The sequence below is a fragment of the Homo sapiens genome, chromosome 8 (genome assembly GCF_000001405.40).
Source record: "Homo sapiens chromosome 8, GRCh38.p14 Primary Assembly".
NCBI lineage: Eukaryota > Metazoa > Chordata > Mammalia > Primates > Hominidae > Homo > Homo sapiens.
In genome coordinates this window covers 143,829,463-143,849,077 of record NC_000008.11, presented here as the reverse complement: position 1 = coordinate 143,849,077, position 19,615 = coordinate 143,829,463, and the positions used below count along the sequence as shown (strand labels likewise).

Here is a 19,615-nt window from a genome sequence, read left to right as displayed (position 1 = left end):
CTGTGCGCAGCCCAGGGCACTGATGGGGACTCACATCTGCCCCAACTTCAACCACAGTGGCCTGTGGACACAGCTCTACAATCCAGACAGAGAGGGAGCTGGTGCTTCTGGGACATCAGACCAACCAGGATCCACCAAAGGTGAGAAACTCAAAAGACCCTCCTACTTTACAGAAGCTCCTGAGGGGTCACAACCTAAGGGTCCAGCAGCCCTTGCACAGACTTCTGCCTACTAGGGTGATCTGAAGATCTTAAAGCCTTGAGTTTGGGATAAGGCAGTTCCAGATGAGCAACACCCAGACCTTGTCACAAGTGGACAAAATTCTCTGGAAGAGGATGCATCATGTGGTGACTTCAGCTTATTCCTATAAATACTTCTCAAAATGGTCTGCACACAAGCGAAGAAACCAGAGCACATCAGGAATGAAGACTCCATGAGTGAGAACCCACAGAAATGACAGAACAAACCCACAAAGACCATAAAATAGCCCCGGTCAACTGTAAACAGCAATAACTAAAGTTAAGAATTCAATGGGCAGATTTAACCAGCATGTCAGACAAATCACTGAGGGAGTCGGTGAAATGGAAGACAGAGTAGAAGGAATTTTGGAGAATATAGCACACGGAGATAAAAGCTGGGAAGAGCAGGAGAGAAGCTAAGGTGCAAAGAGAACAGTAAGATGGTCCAACATACATCAAATGGAGTCCTTGAAGGTCAGAAGATACAGAATGGGGCAGAGGAAACATCGGAAAGGATAAAGGTTTAGAATTTTCCAGATCAAAGACATTAATATCCAAATTAGTGTCCCCAATCTCTAACTTTCTTTCTTTCTTTTTTTTTTTTTTTGAGATGGAGTCTTGCTCTGTTGCCCAGGCTGGAGTGCAGTGGCGCAATCTCGGCTCACTGCAAGCTCTGCCTCCCAGGTTCATGCCATTCTCCTTCCTCAGCCCCCTGAGTATCTGGGACTACAGGCACCCGCCATCATGCCCAGCTAGTTTTTTGTATTTTTAGTAGAGACAGGGTTTCACTGTGTTAGCCAGGATGGTCTCAATGTCCTGACCTCGTGATCTGTCCGCCTCGGCCTCCCAAAGTGCTGGGATTACAGGCGTGAGCCATGGCACCCGGCCCCTATCCATATCTTAGTGATACTGCAGACATCCAAAGGCTGAGAGAAGGTCTGAAAGGCAGCCAGAAAGAAAAGTCAGATTGCCTGTGAACAAGAGGTAGACTAACAACTGATCTCCCAAAAGTAGCAACAAAGCAAGACCAGAGGAGGTTCCACAGACAGCCAAAGAACCAGACTCTTCCCCAACCCCAAGGTCATAAGAGCCCCTCCCAACATGTCCAGACGCCAACCCTGGAAAGGGAGCATGTTGTGGAAGACTGAGCCCTCTGAGAGGCCCGACCCTCAGCTTGGAGACACTGAGCTTCATCTGACGGGGCCTGACTTAATTACTGCAAGGAACAGAATCAAACCTAGCTTTTGTCCCTGCTGGTCTGTGGTGAGGCTCATGTGTAGGGCCGGGTCAGTTACAGAAGGGTCTTTCCTTCTGCTGTACAGTATCACAGGTACAGAGAGAAGAGAGGGTGAGGAATGTTCGACCGTTACAAGGACTACCTGTCAGACAGCTTTGTATTCATTTGTTGGTGCTGCTCTTCTGACAAAATGCAATTCTTTTTTTTTGAGGCGGAGTCTCGCTCTGTCACCCAGGTTGGAGTACATCAGCACAATCTCAGCTGACTGCAACCTCCGCCTCCCGGGTTCTAGTGATTCTCCTGCCTCAGCCTCCTGAGTAGCTAGGATTACAGGCATGCGCCACCACGCCCGGCTCATTTTTGTATTTTTAGTAGAGACGGGGTTTGGCTATGTTGGCCAGGCTGGTCTCGAACTCCTGACTTCAGGTGATCTGCCCGCCTCAGCCTCCTAAAGTGCTGGGATTACAGGCATGTGCCACCACGCCCAGCTCATTTTTGTATTTTTAGTAGAGACAGGGTTTTACCATGTTGGCCAGGCTGGTCTCGAACTCCTGACTTCAGGTGATCTGCCCGCCTCAGCCTCCCAAAGTGCTGGGATTACAGGCATGAGCCACCGCGCCCCGCCAGCAAGTTTCATAAGTAACTAAAAATGTCCAAAGGTTAACAAGTCCAAACTTGTGCTGCTGCTGCATGACAGCCAATCAGTCCAGACAAGGAGTTGAAGCCGAGAAGGCAACTTCATTTTGGAGAGCAGCAAGCCCAGCAGATGCGAATGAGCATCCTCAGGAACCATCTCATGCCAGTATGAGGTTCAGGCCCTTTACAAGTTCAGGGCAGGGGAAAGAGGAGGGCTTGCGATCAAGGGGTGATGGATGACAGCTGGGTGCCAATGAGGCTCCAAGGAGGTTGGGAACTTCCTCTTCCTTTTCAGGTCACAATGCTCCTGTAAATCTTCAACAAAATATAGATAGCTGTTTACATGCTTTCCCTTCAATCCTCGAATTAGTTTCAAAAACTACATGAAAACTACTGTCCTTGCATTTTATCTCAGTGCTCTACAATTATCCTAACCTATGTGCAAGAGTGGGTAAAGACCCCTTCAACAAAAAAGGAGTGAGTGATGTGAGTTGTTGTGCGGTCTCACTGTCACGCAAATAGTCCTTTAAAGCAATTTGGTGCATACGCCAAGATCCCACCAGGGAGGGCTGTTGACACGAGGAGAGCTCACCATAGGTGTCAATTATCTTCAACTTGGACTTTGCCTTATCTGTATGCTGAATAGATGCCTCTATTCCTTAGGATTGAGTTATGACTAAATATATTGCTATCCTCCTGAAATCATTTTGGAAATAATTATTCCTAATCAGTACTTCACATACACACATGTGCGCACATACCAGCTTCCAAGCTGGTTGCTGGCCGCCACAGGCCTTCATGGCTGCTGTCTGGAAACGGCTGTTTCTGGCTGTGTGTACCCTTCACAGGCTTGCTCGGAGTGAGCTGGGAAGCCAGCAAGCCACTGTCTCCACCGCCCAATCTGGGAGGCACTAGCCCAGTGCCTCTGCTGTGTTCTAGCCCTGGAAGCAAGTCACTCAGTCCAGTCCACACTCCTGGGAGGGGATTGCACATGAGGCGGAAGACCAGGAGGCAGGGTCACCAGGACAGACAGTGGGAGGGGTCCTCTGGTGCTCCTCTGACCCCCCAGAGCTGGAACCCCCTGGCTTTCTCCCACCCTAGGATTCCTGGCATCCAGGACAGCAGTCCTGAGCCCTGCAAGCCCGGGGATCGTCCACCTGCCAATGGGAAAGAAATCTGCAGGAATTCAGAGAGCAGCTCACCTGCATGCCTCACAGGAGGGAGAGGCTTGGGAAGACTCTGAGGTGACAACCATGGAGCCCCAGTAGATCTGCAAGGTGGAAGAGGAGGAGGCAGTGAGCAGCGAACCTGCAGTTGGCATCACAAGGCATCGCACAGGGGGCCAGGCACAGCGGCTCACGCCTGCACTCCCAGCTACTCAGGAGGCTGACGCAGGAGGATCCCTGGAGCCCAGCAGTTCAAGATGAGCTTGGGCAATATAGCAAGACTGGCTCTACAAAAAGTTTTAAAAAATAGCTGGGTGCAGTGGCATGTGCCTATAGTCCCAGTTATTCAGGAGGCTGAGGTGGGAGGATCCCTTGAGCCCAGGAATTTGAGGCTGCCGTGAGCTGTGATTACACCACTGCACTCCAGGTTAACAGAGTGAGACCCTGTCTCTGAAAAAAATAAAAAATAAAAAAAAAGCCAATTCACAGATTAGGCTCAGAGGGCAGGTGGATGGCTCAATGGCTAAGAGCAGCCCTAGAGAACTTCCAATAAATTGAAATGGCCTGGCAGCATCAAGGGGTGGAGAAGCTCAGAGGCCGAGCAGAAGGGAGGGTACGCCCCCGCCCTGGGGCACAGCCTGAGTGAGGCCAGGGAGGGTGTGCCGCAGCGGCCACCACTTCTGTGCGTGGGCAGGCAGTAGGACGACCCACTCTGTGCATGGGAATAAATGCTGGGACGCATCCCTGCACGCGAACACATAGCTGTTGTCACGTTACTGTTCTTACCACGGGGGTCATGCTGGAGCAGCACCAGAGATGGAGGAGTAGCGTAAAACAGCACAAACAGATTCGCTCACTGTGCTGGAGGCTGGAAGTGCAAAATCAAGGTATCGGTAGGGCTGATGCTTCCGGAGGCTCCGAGGGAGAATCCATCCCAGGACTCTCTCCTCACCACTCATGGCCCTGGCAGTCCCAAGTAGGGTCCAGCCCCACAGGGACGGTGGGTCTCTCCCCGTGTGCAGAGACGAGAGAGTGTAGAAATAAAGACACAAGACAGAGATAAAAGAAAAGGCAGCTGGGCCCGGGGGACCACTACCACCAAGTCGCGGAGACCGGTAGTGGCCCCGAATGCCAGGCTGCACTGATATTTATTGGATACAAGACAAAGGGGCAGGATAAGGAGAGTGAGCCATCTCCAATGATAGGTAAGGCCACGTGGGTCATGTGTCCACTGGACAGGGGGCCCTTCCCTGCCTGGCAGCCGAGGCAGAGAGAGAGAGGAGACAGAGAGAAAGACAGCCTACGCCATTATTTCTGCATATCAGAGACTTTTAGTACTTTCACTAATTTGCTACTGCTATCTAGAAGGCAGAGCCAGGTGTACAGGATGGAACATGAAGGCGGACTAGGAGTGTGACCGCTGAAGCACAGCATCACAGGGAGACGGTTAGGCCTCCGGATAACTGCAGGCGAGCCTGACTAATGTCAGGCCCTCCACAAGAGGTGGAGGAGTAGAGTCTTCTTTAAACTCCACCGGGGCAAGGGAGACTCCCTTTCCCGGTCTGCTAAGTAGCAGGTGTTTTTCCTTGACACTGCGCCTACCGCTAGACCAAGGTCCACTTGGCAACAGGCATCTTCCCAGACGCTGGCGTTACCGCTAGACCAAGGAGCCCTCTGGTGGCCCTGTCTGGGCATAACAGAGGGCTCGCACTCTTGTCTTCTGGTTACTCCTCACTATGTCCCCTTAGCTCCTATCTCTGTATGGCCTGGTTTTTCCTAGGCTATGATTATAGAGTGAGGATTATTATAATATTGGAATAAAGAGTAATTGCTACAAACTAATGATTAATGATATTCATATATAATCATATCTAAGATCTATATCAGTACAACTATTCTTATTTTATATATTTTATTATACTGGAACAGCTCGTGTCCTCGAGTCCCAGGCACGCCTTGACCTGTGGGTACATCCCTCCAACACTGGCCTCCATGTTCATGTGACTGTCTACCTTATTTCTCTGCACCCCAAGTATCCCTTTTCTTTCTCTGATAAGGACATCAAACATTGGATTTAGGGCCCACCCCAGCATCTCAAGATCCTAAACTTATTTACATCTGCAAAGACCATTTTTTTTTTTTCAAATAAGGCTGTGCTCCTAGGTACTGGGGATCAGGATGTAGACTTTTGGGGGACACTATGTGACCTACCACAGAACATGTGTGTCTGGTTATGGGGGCGGAGAAAGGGGAGGAAATTCATTGAGATTCTTCTGCTCAAGGCTTACCTCCTTAGGGGCTTCTCTGGACCACACCCGCCAAAACGCACCCCTGCCCACCCACAGATCCATTCAACAAGTGTTTGCTGAGGGCCTGCTGTGTGCCGGGTACCGTCCTCGCACCAGAGAAAGAGCAGGGACAACGAGCAGACACTCCTGCCCTGCGGGAGCTCGAATCGCAACAGGGACACAGACAGTGAAGAAGAGAGATGAGAAAAACCCAGATGCAAGTCAGGTGGGGTGAATACTCCGGGAAAAGTCAAGTCAAGCAGGCGAAAGGGTGTGGGGACTGTGATGTCAGGATTCGTGGTCAGGACAGGCCTCTCAGGAAGTGACCTCAGAGGATGTTTGGGAAGGGCGTTCCGGGCAAAGGTATAACCAGGGCAGAGACCCTGAGGGGAAGTGCCTGTCATGTCCGATGGCACAGGGCCGTGTACTTGGGGTGGGCTCAGCTGAAGAAGGCAGCTGACGTGAGGTAGGGTAATGGGACCAATTACTGGGCCTTCATGTTTAGGCCCTCATACCAAGTGAGAAGGGACCACTGGGGGGGCTCCCCAAAACCACCCTCAAGTTCAATGGTTCACTAGAAGGACTCACAGAACTCGGAAAGGGTACTATTTATTACAGCAATGGATGCGTTAAAATCAGCAGTGGCAAGGACTCACAGAACAGAACCCAGGACAGACCAGCACGGGTCTGCAGGTGTCCCCACCCACTGCAGGCATGGGGACAGTGCTCAACCTCCCAGCACTGAGGTGTGACAATGAGCACAGCATGTCAGCAGCCAGGGAAGCCCTCCGTACCTCAGTGTCCAGGGTTTTTATTGGGTTGGTCACACAGGCATGGCTGACCTCCCAGGTGGCTGACTTTGGCCTCCAGCCCCTGCAGAGGTCAGGCTGATGCCACATGGCCCAAGGTCCCCCCGTAGACCATATTGTTAGCACAGACCAGGGGTGTCCAATCTGTGGGCTTTCCTGGCACACATTGGAAGAATTGTCCTGGGCAATACCCTTAAATAAAATACACTTAACACTAACAACAGCTGATGAGCTTTAAAAAAAATCTCAATAAGAAAGTTTATGAATTTGTGTTGGGCCATATTCAAAGCTGTCCTTGGCCGAATGCACCCTCTGGGCTGCGGGTTGGACAAGCTTAGCATAGAATCTGGTGTGGCCGAGGTAAACACAGACATTCAAATCAGGCAGAACATTCCAAGGGCTTAGAGGGTGTCTCCCAGGAGCTGGTCAGGGCCAGTTTCAGGGTGGAGGATTTGAACACCCCAAACCTTTACTGCAGAGGGCCTCAGCAGGATCACCTGGCATTGGTGGAAACCACACACAAGGTGCCTGGTGACCAAGGCTGGTCAGAAAAGAGAGACCACAGGGGACGCAGCAGGGCCAGATGCACCTCTGCCAAAGAAAGAAAGAGGCGTCCCAAAGGGCCAGTGCATGGAGCTGCGCGGAGGGGAGGAGCGGAGTTCCAATTTGGGCTCCAGAGAGAGAAGGTAAAGGATGAGGACCCGCCGTGAAGGAGGGAGGAGACCACAGGAAGGCCGTGGGGGCTGTGGGCTGAAGGGGGTTTTAGGTGAGAATCGGGGACAGCCCCGGTGGTCGGCGTGGCTGGAGGGTGTGCTTAGAGCGGCCTCCGGAGGGAGAGGTCGTGTGAGCCGGGTGGGCTCCCCCCTCATGGTTCCACTGTCCCATGGGAGCCAGCCGCGGAAAGGAAATGCGCGTTTGAGGAGAAAAGAGAAAATCGCCATCCTGGAAAGTGAGAAGATGGGCTTGTGGGCGGGAGGAGGCACTGGTGGGCGGGCCAGGGAGAGATTCGTGGTCACCGATCAAAGTCAGCCTGGGTCAGCCTGCTGGTGGGCCTTTCCCCCGCCCTCGGTGCCCCTTCGACCTGTCCCTTGGGGGTCGGCCGGGGAATGAGTGCGTGGCCAGGAGAGCGGGTCCCGCTTTCGAGCCCGCGGGGTCTTCTGCAGCTGGAGGGTGCCGTGGGCTTGGGGGCCCCCAGATGCCCCGGGTCTTCCCCCAGATCCTAGGGGAGCAACCGCGAGAGAAGTGGGCGCTCCGGGCTCCAGGTGTCCGCAGGGCGGGGCCTCCGAGGGGGCGGGGATTTGGGGGCGGTTCCTCTGCGCGGGGCGGGGCCTCATAGGGGCGGGGCTTCGAGGAGGTGAGGCGGGGCCTGGGGTGGGGCTTCGCGGAGGACCCTGGGAACGGGCGGGGGCGGGGACTAAAACGGGGCGGGGATTCGCGGGGGTGGGGCGGGTCCTGGGGCGGGGCTTCGCGAAGGAGGCTTGGAGGACGAGGAGGGGACAGGGCCTGGGGAGGGGCTTCGCGGAGCAGGCCTGGGAGACGAGGAGGAAACAGGGACTGGGGCGGGGCTTCGCGGGGCGGGGCCTCCGGGGGGGCGGGGCCTGGGCGCGGCCCGGGCTCGGCAGCTCTCGGGGAAGCTCTGCTCTGGCTCCGGCAGGCACAGGCGGCTCGGGAGGTGCGCGCCGGCTCCGCCCCCGGGCCCCGCCCGTCCGCCGCGCGCCCGCGCCTCCCAATTCCCAGAGCCGGGGCTGGGGCTCTAGGCTGCCGCGGCGGCTCTAGGCTGGGCTGCTGGGCGCGAGGCCAGGGCGGGCCGGGAGAGGCTGCGCCGGCGGCGGATCGCGCAGAGGGCGGTGGCCTGGGCTGGCCGAACCATGGCGGCCCCGGAGCCGGCGCCGAGGCGGGCCCGGGAACGGGAGCGGGAGCGGGAGGACGAGAGCGAGGACGAGAGCGACATCCTGGAGGAAAGCCCGTGTGGTCGCTGGCAAAAGCGACGGGAGCAGGTGGGCGCGGGGGTTGGGGCACGGGGTGACACCGCCCTCCCAGAGCGGGAGGGGCCTGGAGGCTGCGCGGGGCGTGGGGGCGCTGGGAGAGCGCGGCGGCTGGAAACCTCTCCGCGGCCCCTCGCGGCCCGCGAATCAGCCACCCCTGGACCCCTTTGGCCTGGCGCTCGCCCTGGGACTCCCTGAGGGCCAGTCTCCTCCCAGGACCACCTCCCCATGCCTCTGGACTCAGCCGCTAGCTTCCTGGGGATCCCCCTCGACCCCCTGAAACCTGCTCCAAATCCCCTTAGCCCAGCCCTTGGATAGGAGCCCTTGGCTCCTGGGGGCAGCTACCCTCCAAGCCCCACCTTCCCGCAGAGTGGCTCAGGGCCTGCAGCCCACGCTTGGGCCCACTGGAAAGGTGTGGACAGGGACCAAATCCTCACCCACAACCCTGACACACACCAGGGCACACATAACCCTTTATTCACCCCCAGGTAAACCAAGGGAACATGCCAGGGCTTCAGAGCACCTTCCTAGCCATGGACACGGAGGAGGGGGTAGAGGTGGTGTGGAACGAGCTCCACTTCGGAGACAGGAAGGCCTTCGCGGCGCACGAGGTGAGACCGCTGCCCCCTCCTCATCCTGCTTGGGTGACCACCTGCTGACCACCCAGCGACCACCCTCCCTCCCCAGGAGAAGATCCAGACCGTGTTCGAGCAGCTGGTGCTGGTGGACCACCCGAACATCGTGAAGTTGCACAAGTACTGGCTGGATACCTCTGAGGCCTGCGCGAGGGTGAGCACGGGCAAGGCCCCGGGCAGGCAGAGACCACAGCTAGGTGGGGCGGGCATGGGGACGAACCCGCAGCTGGTGGAAATCCTGAGCTCGCACCGTGCAGGTCATCTTCATCACAGAGTACGTGTCATCAGGCAGCCTCAAGCAATTCCTCAAAAAGACCAAGAAGAACCACAAGGCCATGAACGCCCGGGTATGGGGAGCGGGCTGGGGCAGCCACGGGGACAGGACGGGGTTGGGGCAGCCTCGGGGACTGGGATGGTGAGGGGGTGCCCGGCGGCCTCGGACAGGGGCTGGGCGAGGATGCGGGGCGGGCTCCGCAGGCCCAGCCGCCTCTCCTGCGCCCACCCGACCGACGGAGTCGTGCGTCCGCCGCCAGGCCTGGAAGCGCTGGTGCACGCAGATCCTGTCTGCGCTCAGGTGAGGGCCTGGGCTGGCCTGGGCGCGGCGCCACCGAGCCCCCATCTCTCCAGAGCCTCCTGACCGGCTCCTCCTACTCTCCCCTCCCCAACGTCTGCAGCTTCCTGCACGCCTGCAGCCCCCCAATCATCCACGGGAACCTGACCAGCGACACCATCTTCATTCAGCACAACGGCCTCATCAAGATCGGCTCCGGTGCTGGCGGGGCAGGGCTGGGTGGGGGAACGGGGCAGGGGAAGGTGCCTGGAGCCAAGGGCAGAGGAGTTCTGATGCCCCAGCAGCTAACTCCACTCTTTCTCCCGCCCCTTGGCAGTGTGGCACCGAATCTTCTCCAATGGTAAGTGCGGACTTTGGGGGGACGGGGTCCTGGAGAGGTCCCCGCCCGCTCAGCTCTGCGCCCTCCCACAGCACTTCCAGATGATCTCCGAAGCCCCATCCGCGCTGAGCGAGAGGAACTTCGGAACCTGCACTTCTTCCCCCCAGAGTATGGAGGTGAGTGGTGCTGGGTCCGGGTGCCCCGTGCCTACCCTGCGCTTCTCTCCTACGTGTCCTGTGCTCTCTTCTGTTCAGAGGTGGCCGATGGGACCGCTGTGGACATCTTCTCCTTTGGGATGTGTGCGCTGGAGGTACTGCCCCCGCCCTCCACCTTGTGCTCTGCCCTCCTCCTAACTGTGCCCTGCCTGGCTCACCTGTGTGGTCCCTTCCCCATGCCTGACCTGGCTCTGTGCCCCAGATGGCTGTACTGGAAATCCAGACCAATGGGGACACCCGGGTCACAGAGGAGGCCATTGCTCGCGCCAGGCACTCGCTGAGTGACCCCAACATGCGGGTAAGCAGCTTGCCCTGCCCCTCCCCAGCTGGCTCACCGTGCTCAGCTAGGGCTAGCAAGGTGCTCCAGGCAGACCTGGGAGAACATCACAGTTTGTGCAGTTGAGGGGTATACCAGCTGACTGCACCCCTCCCAAAGAGGACCTCAGTGGGAGCACATACTGGTTCCAGGCCTGAAGGCCCTAAGGGGTCAGCACATTCTAAGGACAAGAAGGCAAGAGAGACCCTCCCTCTGTGGCTGCCATCACCATGCCCGTTTTATAAAGAAACCAAGGTTCAGAGGAGATGAGTCCTTTGCCCAAGGCTTTAGAGTGAGTGGTGGAGCCAACATCTGCACCTGGGTCTGCTTCACTCCAAGTCCTTGACTTTAAGCTTCCAGGAGGTGATGAGGCTCCAGCTTGTGGGGGGACATGGTGGGTGCCAAGCAGGCAAAAAGAGGTATGGGATGGAAGCTGCATCCACAGCCCCCTCTGCTCGGAGTCTAGACTTAACTCCATGGCCTCAGGAGATGGGGGTGCCTGGTCGGGGCTGGTGGCGAGCTGGAGCCGGGCTGGGCACGGATGTGGACAGAGTGGGGACCCATCAAGGTCGTCTCCAGTGTTGGGCCCGAGCTGAGCCGATCAAAAGGCCATGGGTAGGAGGCTTGCAGGTGTGACTTTAGGATCATGGCTTCTCCCCACGATTTTTTGGGGGTCGAGGGAAGCAGAGCATGGTGCTCCAATCCCAGAACCCAGCTGTCCTCAAGCTCAGAGGACCAGGTCCTGGCCTGGCTGCTGCTGCTGGGACTCCTCCCTATGGGCATCCCTGCATGTCCTGTGTGTCCCTGAGGAGGGACATGGGGAACTCAGGGGCCACCTCTCCTCGAACTGCGGGGCCAGAGCAGAGAGCCCTTGCACACCACCAGCCTCTCCTCCCTGTGCCCCAGGAGTTCATCCTTTGCTGCCTGGCCCGGGACCCTGCCCGCCGGCCCTCTGCCCACAGCCTCCTCTTCCACCGCGTGCTCTTCGAGGTGCACTCGCTGAAGCTCCTGGCAGCCCACTGCTTCATCCAGCACCAGTGTGAGCAGCAGGCCGGCCCGGGGGGTGGCTGGGGAGGTGGAGGTTGGGACGTGGAAGGGGCCCTGCAGGACCCACGGCCTGAGCACACCGCCTTGATGCTCTTGTGGCCGCAGACCTCATGCCTGAGAATGTGGTGGAGGAGAAGACCAAGGCCATGGACCTGCACGCGGTCTTGGCGGAGCTTCCCCGGCCCCGCAGGCCCCCGCTGCAGTGGCGGTGAGCAGTCAGCACCCAGAAGCCTCCCCTCCCCACACCTCCCCTCCCCGCACCTCCCCTCCCCTCGCCCCGGCCAGCCCCTCATGTGCCTCCCACTTCCATGCCAGGTACTCGGAAGTCTCCTTCATGGAGCTGGACAAATTCCTGGAGGATGTCAGGTGAGAACTGATGTAAGGTTGGGGGCCAGGCAGCTGTCAGGCCTGAACCCCCAGCCACCCTGTTGTGTCCCCAGGAATGGAATCTACCCACTGATGAACTTTGCAGCCACTCGACCCCTGGGGCTGCCCCGTGTGCTGGCCCCACCCCCGGAGGAGGTCCAAAAGGCCAAGACCCCGACGCCAGAGCCCTTTGACTCTGAGACCAGAAAGGTGAGTCCCCTCTCCTGCTGCTCAGTGCCATCCCTCAGACCTTCTAACAGCCAGATAAGAGGTGCCCCTCCTTCTCTTAGGGCCTGCATCCCCACAGCCCAGCTCTCCTCCTGGCTGCCAGAGACCAGATCCAGGCTGACCCCCTTGTGGGGGTCATGGGGGTTATAGGACAGGCTGGGCACTCTCCTTTTCCGGGAGGCTCCCTGTCCCCTCAGATCCTTCCCCTGCATCCTGCTGCCTGCCCTGAACCTACTCCAAGCATCCTTCCTCCAGAACTCACCCGGGCTCTTCCACCCTGCCAGCAATCTTCCCCCACCCCCGCACCCCTCCCACCCCCCCCACCCCTCCCATCCCCCACCTGGTGCTGATTCCCGGACATCTATGTCCTGGTGTCTCCCCAGACTTTTCCTGCAGCACCCCCTCCTGGCCAGGGGCCTCTCTCGGTGCAGTGCAGCCAGAATTCATGTCCTAACAGGCAAACTGCCTGCTCCTGGCTGCCAGCAGAGATCATGGGAGTCCTCAGCTGACACCCAGGCTCTGGGAGGCCTGATCCCGCAGGCACCGTGCACTTCGGCGCGGTCCTGTCCCGCCCAACCTCCCTTTCCCCACGCCCACAGTTCCCTCTTTGTTCAAGTTGTTCTCTCCGCGGTGAAAGCTCCTATTCAGCCTTCAGTACCCAGCCCCTAATGTCGACTCTTCTCGAAGCTTTCCTTAGCTTGCCAAGCCACTAGCAGTGAGATGGGCTCCTCTTAGAGATTCCCCCCTTTCCAGTCTTTGCTGTCCCTTCCCGGCCCCTTTGGGGCCGCGGCATGTGGTCTTGCTGCTGGGTTTGTGAGTCCCAGCCTTCCCCCGCTGCAGGTCATCCAGATGCAGTGCAACCTGGAGAGAAGCGAGGACAAGGCGCGCTGGCATGTGAGCGGGGCCTGGGAGGGCGGCGCTGCCGTGGGGAAGGCGGGAGCGTGGCGGAGCCCTGAACCCCCAGCCGACCACGCCCCGCCGCCTCCCCAGCTCACTCTGCTTCTGGTGCTGGAAGACCGGCTGCACCGGCAGCTGACCTACGACCTGCTCCCAAGTAGGCTGGGCAGGGGACTTGGGCGGCGGGCGGTGACCCCAGGCGGCGGGTGGGCAGCGGCCTCATGCCTCGCCTTACGCCATTGCCTCAGCGGACAGCGCCCAGGACCTCGCCTCGGAGCTCGTGCACTATGGCTTCCTCCACGAGGTGCGCTGGGCGGTGCGGCGCGGCCTGGCGGAGGGGGCGCACGGGGCAGGCCGCGCCCCTCCGTCCCCCATGCCTCCCTCCTTCCGCAGGACGACCGGATGAAGCTGGCCGCCTTCCTGGAGAGCACCTTCCTCAAGTACCGTGGGACCCAGGCCTGACCCGGAGCCCCAGCCCCAGGGGACCATGCCGGGGTGCTGCCTGGGCAGGCCATGTTGGGGAGACTCCAGCACCGTGGGGCTGCCCTCCTCCATGCGCCTGGGAGCACAAAGGCCCCGGTAGTGAAGGAACCCCCCGTCTCCTGAGAGTGGGGCTGACCCTGCCTTGGGCGCCGAGGGGTTGGGGGGTGGGTGTGGGGGAGCCGTTAGGCCTCCCAGGTCCTTAGGATCAGGGTTGCCCCCAGAACCCCTTCCCATATCCTCCATTCTCCGCCCTGAGTTCCTACCCAGGCTGCCTGGCCGGGGCCACTGCCTCCTCAGCATGCAGGAGGCTGCCCTGTAGGGAACCCCAGCTCTGGGGCTTGGGGGTGAGGGTCAGCCCTGGACAGACCTCTGCCCAGGGAACTGCTCCATGGGGTCTGGGAGAGCAGCCATCCCCTGCTGGCACCATAGACCCACACAAGGAGCCTGCACAGCAAGCCAGCGGTGACACACCTGCAGGTGTCAGGCATGGCACTGGGCACAACAGGGACCTGGCAGGAGAAACAGACCACAGAGAGGTCTGGAGTTGAGGCTGTTGTCAGCAAAGCCCCTGGTCCCACACAGCTCTGCCCTAGAGCCACCTCTTTGACCCTTTACCCACCCTGAGACCAGAACTTGCAGCCCCTCTGCAGATCTCCTCTGGCCACTGCAGCCCCTCCAATGGGCTTTTTCTCTCATGCATTCCCTGGCCTGGAGGCGTCAGGGACCCCACATCCTCCCTGCTCCTCAGACTCACAGCCCCTCCATGTTACCTCCCGCACCTCCTCCCTGGGGCAGCTGCTCCCTGGGCCTCTGAGGATGTCAGCTCCTGGCTCCCTGCCTCTCTCCCACTCCACTCCTGGCTCAGTCTTAGAGATTTCTATGCCCTCATGGATTCTACCCCTGCCTTCCTGGCCTCTTGATTCTTGGCTTGCCTCTCCTCCAATTCCAAACTTAGTGAAATGGCCTTAAGCATTTTAAACTGTATGTATACATTAGCGCATTCATGCCTTTCTAAACGCATTTCAAATGTCAACCAGGAAGGCACACCACTGTATTAGTTTTATACTGCCGCTGTAAAATTTACCACAAACTTAGTGACTTAACACAAATTTATTGCAATTCTGTAGGCTGGAAGTCTGACTATGGGTCTCACTGGACTAGAATCAAGGCTGGCAGGCTGCCTTCCTTCCTGGAGGTTCTAGGGGAGACTCTGTCTCCTGCTCCTTCAGGCTGCTGGCAGAATCCACATCCTTTCGGTGGCAGGGCCAAGGTCCCCACTTTCTTGCTGACTGTAAACTAAGGCCACTTCCAGCTTGTAGAGGCTGCCTACATTCCTTGGCTCTTGGCCCCCTCCTCCATCTTCAGAGCTAGCAGGTTCAGTCTGTGTCACGAACCATTTCTCTGGTTCCCTGCAGACAGGAAAGGTTGTCCCTAAGGACTCATGAGATTAGGTTGGGCCCAGCCAGATAATACATGATAATCTCCCTCCTCAAGGTTTTTAATATTAAACACATCTGCAGGACACATTTTGCCATGTAAACTAACATTCACTGGTTCCAGGGATTAAGGAATGAACCTCTTTTGTTGGGGAAGGGTGGCATTCTGCTGACCACAGCACTCCAACCAAAAGCCAAAAACCAAAGCAAGACTTACTAACGCATATCAAATAAATTAAAGGTACAAAATCGTGAATCTCAGTTATCTTAAATATTCCAATACTATTTACAAAATTATTCAAATTCTCACGCCTTCCAACTCAAAATTAGCAATCTAAAGTAATTTCCATATCCTAGATGGAAACCCTCATGCTAAACTGTCTGATTATGCATGGTTCTAAATGGTTTCAGTGGCAAATACATAACATTGTACTACTGATTAAACTGAACTTAAAAGCATCAATACCACCATTGCTGCACTTAATCATGTCTCTGTTGAATTTTTCCTTTTAAATTTTATCTTTTCAGAATTATATATGTATTGTTTTTAAAGTAGAATAGTTTTTTTTTTGAGGCCAATAATAAATAATAAATGCAGGCTCCTACTCTGATCCTCTCCAAATTCAACTCTCTTAACTGTTTCTTCAGGCATTTGAAATCCATGTTTTTCAAAACCATGAGCATGCTTTTAGTCCTGTTTATTCGTTTTTCTACATTAGATGTCCCTGGCTGGCATCCTCTGGGAGGAGGGCGGTCACCTGCCTCAGTCTCCTGGCGGCATCATTCCAGTGTTACGGGCATCATAGCTGCATGGGTGTTATTACAGCTTCATTACCACACGTCTCAGGAGAGAACACGGTGTTCTAGGATGGCATTTCTTGCACAACTTTTTGTTTTCCCTGGAGTTAATAATTGCCTTTTTTTTGGTTTGCCTAGTTTTCTATATGTGTTTGTCATTGATTCATCTTTAGACTTTCCTGAAGAAGCATGAGCATCCTGTCACAGCTTAGGACTCATCACATAACTGACTGCTCAGTTTCTTCTTTTCCTGGAGCCCCCACCATACAAGCCCCCTGCCCAGGCTACTTGTTCTTGGACTTACAGCCCAGTGGTCAGCATGGGTTAACTCTTCACCAGTGTCCTGTACTGCTTTCCTCTTCCTTCATTTGCCCTGTTTGAGAAGGACCATCCTCCAGGTTTCCTGAGAGGGTGCATAGGAAGTTGTGGAGTCTTTACCTGTTTGTCTTTGTAGGGGTGGGTTGCCCCTCCACACCTGTGGGTGTTTCTCGTAAGGTGGAACAAGAGACTTAGGAAAGAAAAAGACACAGAGACAAAAGTATAGAGAAAGAAATAAGGGGACCCGGGGAACCAGCGTTCAGCATATGGAGGATCCCGCCAGCCTCTGAGTTCCCTTAGTATTTATTGATCATTTGTGGGTGTTTCTCGAAGAGGGGGATGTGTCAGGGTCACAAGACAATAGTGGGGAGAGGGTCAGCAGACAAACACGTGAACAAAGGTCTTTGCATCATAGACAATGTAAACGATTAAGTGCTGTGCTTTTAGATATGCATACACATAAACATCTCAATGCTTTACAAAGCAGTATTGCTGCCCGCAGGTCCCACCTCCAGCCCTAAGGCGGTTTTTCCCTATCTCAGTAGATGGAGCATGCAATCAGGTTTTATATGGAGACATTCCATTGCCCAGGGACGGGCAGGAGACAGATGCCTTCCTCTTGTCTCAACTGCAAGAGGCATTCCTTCCTCTTTTACTAATCCTCCTCAGCACAGACCCTTTACGGGTGTCGGGCTGGGGGACGGTCAGGTCTTTCCCATCCCACGAGGCCATATTTCAGACTATCACATGGGGAGAAACCTTGGACAATACCTGGCTTTCCTAGGCAGAGGTCCCTGCGGCCTTCCGCAGTTTTTGTGTCCCTGGGTACTTGAGATTAGGGAGTGGTGATGACTCTTAAGGAGCATGCTGCCTTCAAGCATCTGTTTAACAAAGCACATCTTGCACCGCCCTTAATCCATTCAACTCTGAGTTGACACAGCACATGTTTCAGAGAGCACGGGGTTGGGGGTAAGGTCATAGATTAACAGAGTCTCAAGGCAGAAGAATTTTCCTTAGTACAAAACAAAATGGAGTCTCCTATGTCTACTACTTTCTACACAGACACAGTAACAATCTGATCTCTCTTGCTTTTCCCCACAGTCTTTATGCTAACCTCACATATGCTTAACAGTGCGACTAGCTACAAAAAGCTTGGCTTGGTTGAAAATCATTTATTCCCAGGATTTCAAGGGTATTGTGTCATTTTCTTCTAGTTCCAAGAACTCTTGTGCCTTCCTGAATTCTGACTCTTTACCTATGATCTCTTCTTTTTCTTTGCCCCATTACTTGGGTAATTCTCAATGATGTGTCTTGATATACAACTTCCCTTTCACCCATTGTTCAGAAAACATGACTGTTTGGTTCTAGGAAATTTTCTTGATTTATCTCTGCTGATTTCTCTCATTTCCTTATTTTCTGGACAATTTATTTAGATGTTGGACTTCTGTTGAGTTTTTGTTGTTTTTTTGAGACAGGGTCTGGCTCTGTCACCCAGGCTGGAGTGCAGTGGTGTGATCACAGGGCACTGCAACCTCCACCTTCTGGGCTCCAGCAATCCTCCCACCTTAGCCTCTCTAGTAGCTAGGACTACAGGCGTGTGCCACCATGCCCAGCTGGTTTTTTAAAATTACTTTTTGTAGAGACGTGGCCTCACTATATTGCCCAAGCTGGTCTTGAACCCCTGGGCCCAAGTGATACTCCTGCCTCAGCCTCCTGAAGTGCTGGGAAGGCAGGCATGAGCCACTGTGCCTGACCTGGACTTCTCTTTTGAGATGCAGTCATGGTGGTGGCAAGAACACAGGCTCTGGAGCCATTCTACTGCTGCTCCCTGCCTTGTGATGTTGCCCATCAGTAAAAATGGGGTAACAGCTGTATCCATTGCATAGCACTGGGTTGTGAGGATCCCATGAATGAATGTGTGTAAGAACAGTCCTGGGCACCATGCATCCTGCGTGCACATTATTGCCAAGGGAAGCTGTCCCCAGAGGGTGGTGCCTGTGGCTTCCCCTGGTGGTGGTGGCAGACCAGCCCCCCACCTCCCATCCACCCCCTCCATTGTGGAGGCCTTGTGTGCCAGGCTAGCCCTAAGAGCACCCACCTGTGTTACTGCTATTCTGTTTTCCAGCTATCTGGTTCTGTCATTATACATTCTGGAAGACTTCATCTTAAAAGCCTATTGAATTGCTCACTTTCCCCTCATGTTTTATTTCTAAGAGCTCTTTCTCATCCCGAGGTTTCTTTCTCTATAGCCCCCAGTTCCTTTTTATTGACTGAGAATGGCATTTTAGTTTTCATTTTTCTTCGGCTTCCTTTATCGTCTCTGTTTCTTCTGAGTCCCTTTTCTTCTTTCTCAGGTGTCTGGTGATCCTGGGCTGTCCAGCTGCATTGAAGAGTGAGATGCTTTTAGTGGCTGGGGCTTATGACCTGGTGAGCTTCGAGGCCAGGGATCTGGCTGGGCCATTCTACTGGGCAACACTCTACCCCTAGGTGCCCTGCCAGTCTTTTCTTTTGAGCTAGGAGCTGCTGCAGAGAGGAGCCCTCTTCTCTGAGAAGCCTGATGGCATGCGGGTGGTCAGACCCAGCCCAGGGGTGGAGGCAGGGGTAGGACCCAGAGTCTCACTTACTCCCAGGCTTTCAGACAGGGCCTTGCTTGAGCAGGGCCTCAGAGCTCCTCTCCTGGAGCTCACGTCTCAGACACTGCAGTGCCTGCCAGCCCCGGTGGGTAGGGACAGAGGTCTGGGGTTTCCTTTCTGTAGCTGTGCTTTCACCCACGACCCTCAGACACTGGCCTCCATAGCCAAGTGGGCTGGAGTAGCTCTCGCTGTCCACCTTTCTTAAGCTCTGCAATATCCCAGCTCTTTGCCCTTGCAGGGTTTGTCTTTATAAAACCCCTTTCCTATAATTTTGGAAGGTTTCAGGAGGGAGGCGGGGAATATTCTGCCCTATTTAAGTAGAAGTGTCTGTATTAAATTCTAAATGTTCCCAGGGTTGAAAGGAGGCCTGCCCGGGATGCCTTGTGGCCTTAGGCAGCTGAAGGTGCCTGAGCTTACAGATGTGGCTTCTTCGGATGACCGAGTTGGGGTCTCGGGACTGGGTGCAGCAGATGGCAAATGTCCAGGACAGGCAGCTTTCCCAGCAGTACTGACAGACACCTTGGGCCATGAAAGCCAGTTCAGGGACTAACGGGGCCTGCGGGCTGCGGGTCTAGCGACTGATGTCAGCCAACCTAGGGTCATCGGTTCCCTGGAAGGAGAAAAAGCTGCCAATTGAACGGGGCCTCCCGGTCCCAGGGATGTCGCGACGCGGGGACGACGCATCTCACGACGTCAGCCTGAAACACGCGGGCCTTTCATCACCCGAGACTCCTCCAGCCCAGGAGGGCCCCGCTCTTTCGCCTGCCTCCTGGGGGAGAGCCTCTGGACGACGCACGCGACAGCGTTTTCTCCAAAAAAGGCAGAGAAGAGAAGCGTAGCAGTGGCCGCAAGGGCGACGGGCGGCGAAGGGTACTACGCACGCCCGCGTCGGCCACGCGGAGAGATACGCCCGACTCGAGTCCCGCGGCGCACGCCCCTAGACGCCCGAGGTGCGCGGGCCACGCCCCTCGCCCGGCCAAGAGCACGCCCCTT

The 19,615-nt window shown here is 55.9% G+C and overlaps 1 protein-coding gene, 1 long non-coding RNA gene and 1 other non-coding gene across 12 annotated transcripts in view, besides 8 other annotated features; 2 read left to right on the top strand and 1 right to left on the bottom strand.

Moving 5' to 3' along the window:
* Positions 6,758-7,487: an enhancer, noted in NCBI's record as "H3K4me1 hESC enhancer chr8:144923763-144924492 (GRCh37/hg19 assembly coordinates)". NCBI's record gives its function as "activates a minimal SCP1, AML or CMV promoter by ChIP-STARR-seq in primed H9 embryonic stem cells {active_cell/tissue: H9 hESC(primed)}" and the evidence as "EXISTENCE:reporter gene assay evidence [ECO:0000049][PMID:30033119]".
* Positions 7,488-8,218: an enhancer, noted in NCBI's record as "H3K27ac-H3K4me1 hESC enhancer chr8:144923032-144923762 (GRCh37/hg19 assembly coordinates)". NCBI's record gives its function as "activates a minimal SCP1, AML or CMV promoter by ChIP-STARR-seq in primed H9 embryonic stem cells {active_cell/tissue: H9 hESC(primed)}" and the evidence as "EXISTENCE:reporter gene assay evidence [ECO:0000049][PMID:30033119]".
* Positions 7,644-8,203: a silencer, noted in NCBI's record as "silent region_19625". NCBI's record gives its function as "represses an Ori minimal core promoter by ATAC-STARR-seq in GM12878 lymphoblastoid cells {active_cell/tissue: GM12878}" and the evidence as "EXISTENCE:reporter gene assay evidence [ECO:0000049][PMID:35858748]".
* Positions 8,105-19,302, top strand: NRBP2 (nuclear receptor binding protein 2). Of its 9 annotated transcripts, none has more exons than XR_001745529.2 (19): positions 8,105-8,372; positions 8,849-8,971; positions 9,048-9,149; positions 9,253-9,342; positions 9,529-9,569; positions 9,670-9,764; positions 9,883-9,906; positions 9,978-10,061; positions 10,140-10,195; positions 10,303-10,398; positions 11,323-11,455; positions 11,569-11,671; positions 11,779-11,829; positions 11,904-12,039; positions 12,898-12,951; positions 13,048-13,258; positions 13,348-13,533; positions 18,344-18,416; positions 19,220-19,302. XR_001745529.2 is itself a non-coding variant. In XM_017013382.2 (18 exons), the coding sequence occupies exons 1-18, from the start codon at positions 8,244-8,246 to the stop codon at positions 18,352-18,354; spliced, it is 1,725 nt and encodes a 574-aa protein (XP_016868871.1). In that variant the 5' UTR covers positions 8,105-8,243; the 3' UTR covers positions 18,355-19,046. The 9 variants fall into 9 exon arrangements, 7 of the variants coding, with proteins under 7 accessions (XP_016868871.1, XP_016868867.1, XP_016868868.1 ...); XR_001745528.2 differs by lacking the exon at positions 19,220-19,302 and adding an exon at positions 18,976-19,064; XM_017013382.2 differs by lacking the exon at positions 19,220-19,302 and having other exon boundaries at positions 18,344-19,046.
* Positions 11,262-11,322, top strand: MIR6845 (microRNA 6845). Its single transcript, NR_106904.1, has one exon. It is a non-coding gene; the product is annotated as a microRNA 6845 (primary transcript).
* Positions 11,530-12,257: an enhancer, noted in NCBI's record as "H3K4me1 hESC enhancer chr8:144918993-144919720 (GRCh37/hg19 assembly coordinates)". NCBI's record gives its function as "activates a minimal SCP1, AML or CMV promoter by ChIP-STARR-seq in naive H9 embryonic stem cells {active_cell/tissue: H9 hESC(naive)}" and the evidence as "EXISTENCE:reporter gene assay evidence [ECO:0000049][PMID:30033119]".
* The window catches only part of LOC107986985 (uncharacterized), a 2,652-nt gene continuing 183 nt past the window's right edge, over positions 17,147-19,615 (bottom strand). The window contains exons 2-3 of one of the 2 annotated variants that reach the window (XR_001746138.2): positions 19,040-19,232; positions 17,147-18,369 (exon numbers count right to left, since the gene is read on the bottom strand). This is a non-coding gene — a long non-coding RNA (uncharacterized LOC107986985). Of the gene's footprint in view, positions 18,370-19,039; positions 19,535-19,615 lie in introns of those variants that run through there. The other variant, XR_007061140.1, reaches the window with a different exon arrangement.
* Positions 18,472-19,615: part of a biological region, named in NCBI's record as "MED14-independent group 3 enhancer GRCh37_chr8:144911577-144912776", that runs on past the window's edge.
* Positions 18,472-19,615: part of an enhancer, noted in NCBI's record as "MED14-independent group 3 enhancer chr8:144911577-144912776 (GRCh37/hg19 assembly coordinates)", that runs on past the window's edge. NCBI's record gives its function as "activates an origin of replication core promoter dependent on BRD2, BRD4, P300/CBP and CDK7 cofactors, and independent of MED14, by STARR-seq in HCT116 cells {active_cell/tissue: HCT116}" and the evidence as "EXISTENCE:reporter gene assay evidence [ECO:0000049][PMID:35650434]".
* Positions 18,992-19,615: part of an enhancer, noted in NCBI's record as "H3K27ac-H3K4me1 hESC enhancer chr8:144911557-144912256 (GRCh37/hg19 assembly coordinates)", that runs on past the window's edge. NCBI's record gives its function as "activates a minimal SCP1, AML or CMV promoter by ChIP-STARR-seq in primed H9 embryonic stem cells {active_cell/tissue: H9 hESC(primed)}" and the evidence as "EXISTENCE:reporter gene assay evidence [ECO:0000049][PMID:30033119]".
* Positions 19,476-19,615: part of a silencer, noted in NCBI's record as "silent region_19624", that runs on past the window's edge. NCBI's record gives its function as "represses an Ori minimal core promoter by ATAC-STARR-seq in GM12878 lymphoblastoid cells {active_cell/tissue: GM12878}" and the evidence as "EXISTENCE:reporter gene assay evidence [ECO:0000049][PMID:35858748]".

Bases quoted from the DNA above. Each gene is read 5' to 3' on its own strand.
- NRBP2 (XM_017013378.2), top strand. From the start codon at position 8,244: ATGGCGGCCCCGGAGCCGGCGCCGAGGCGGGCCCGGGAACGGGAGCGG. The intron at 8,373-8,848 runs GTGGGCGCGGGG...ATTCACCCCCAG, and splicing joins GGCAAAAGCGACGGGAGCAG to GTAAACCAAGGGAACATGCC. The intron at 11,672-11,778 runs GTGAGCAGTCAG...CTTCCATGCCAG, and splicing joins AGGCCCCCGCTGCAGTGGCG to GTACTCGGAAGTCTCCTTCA.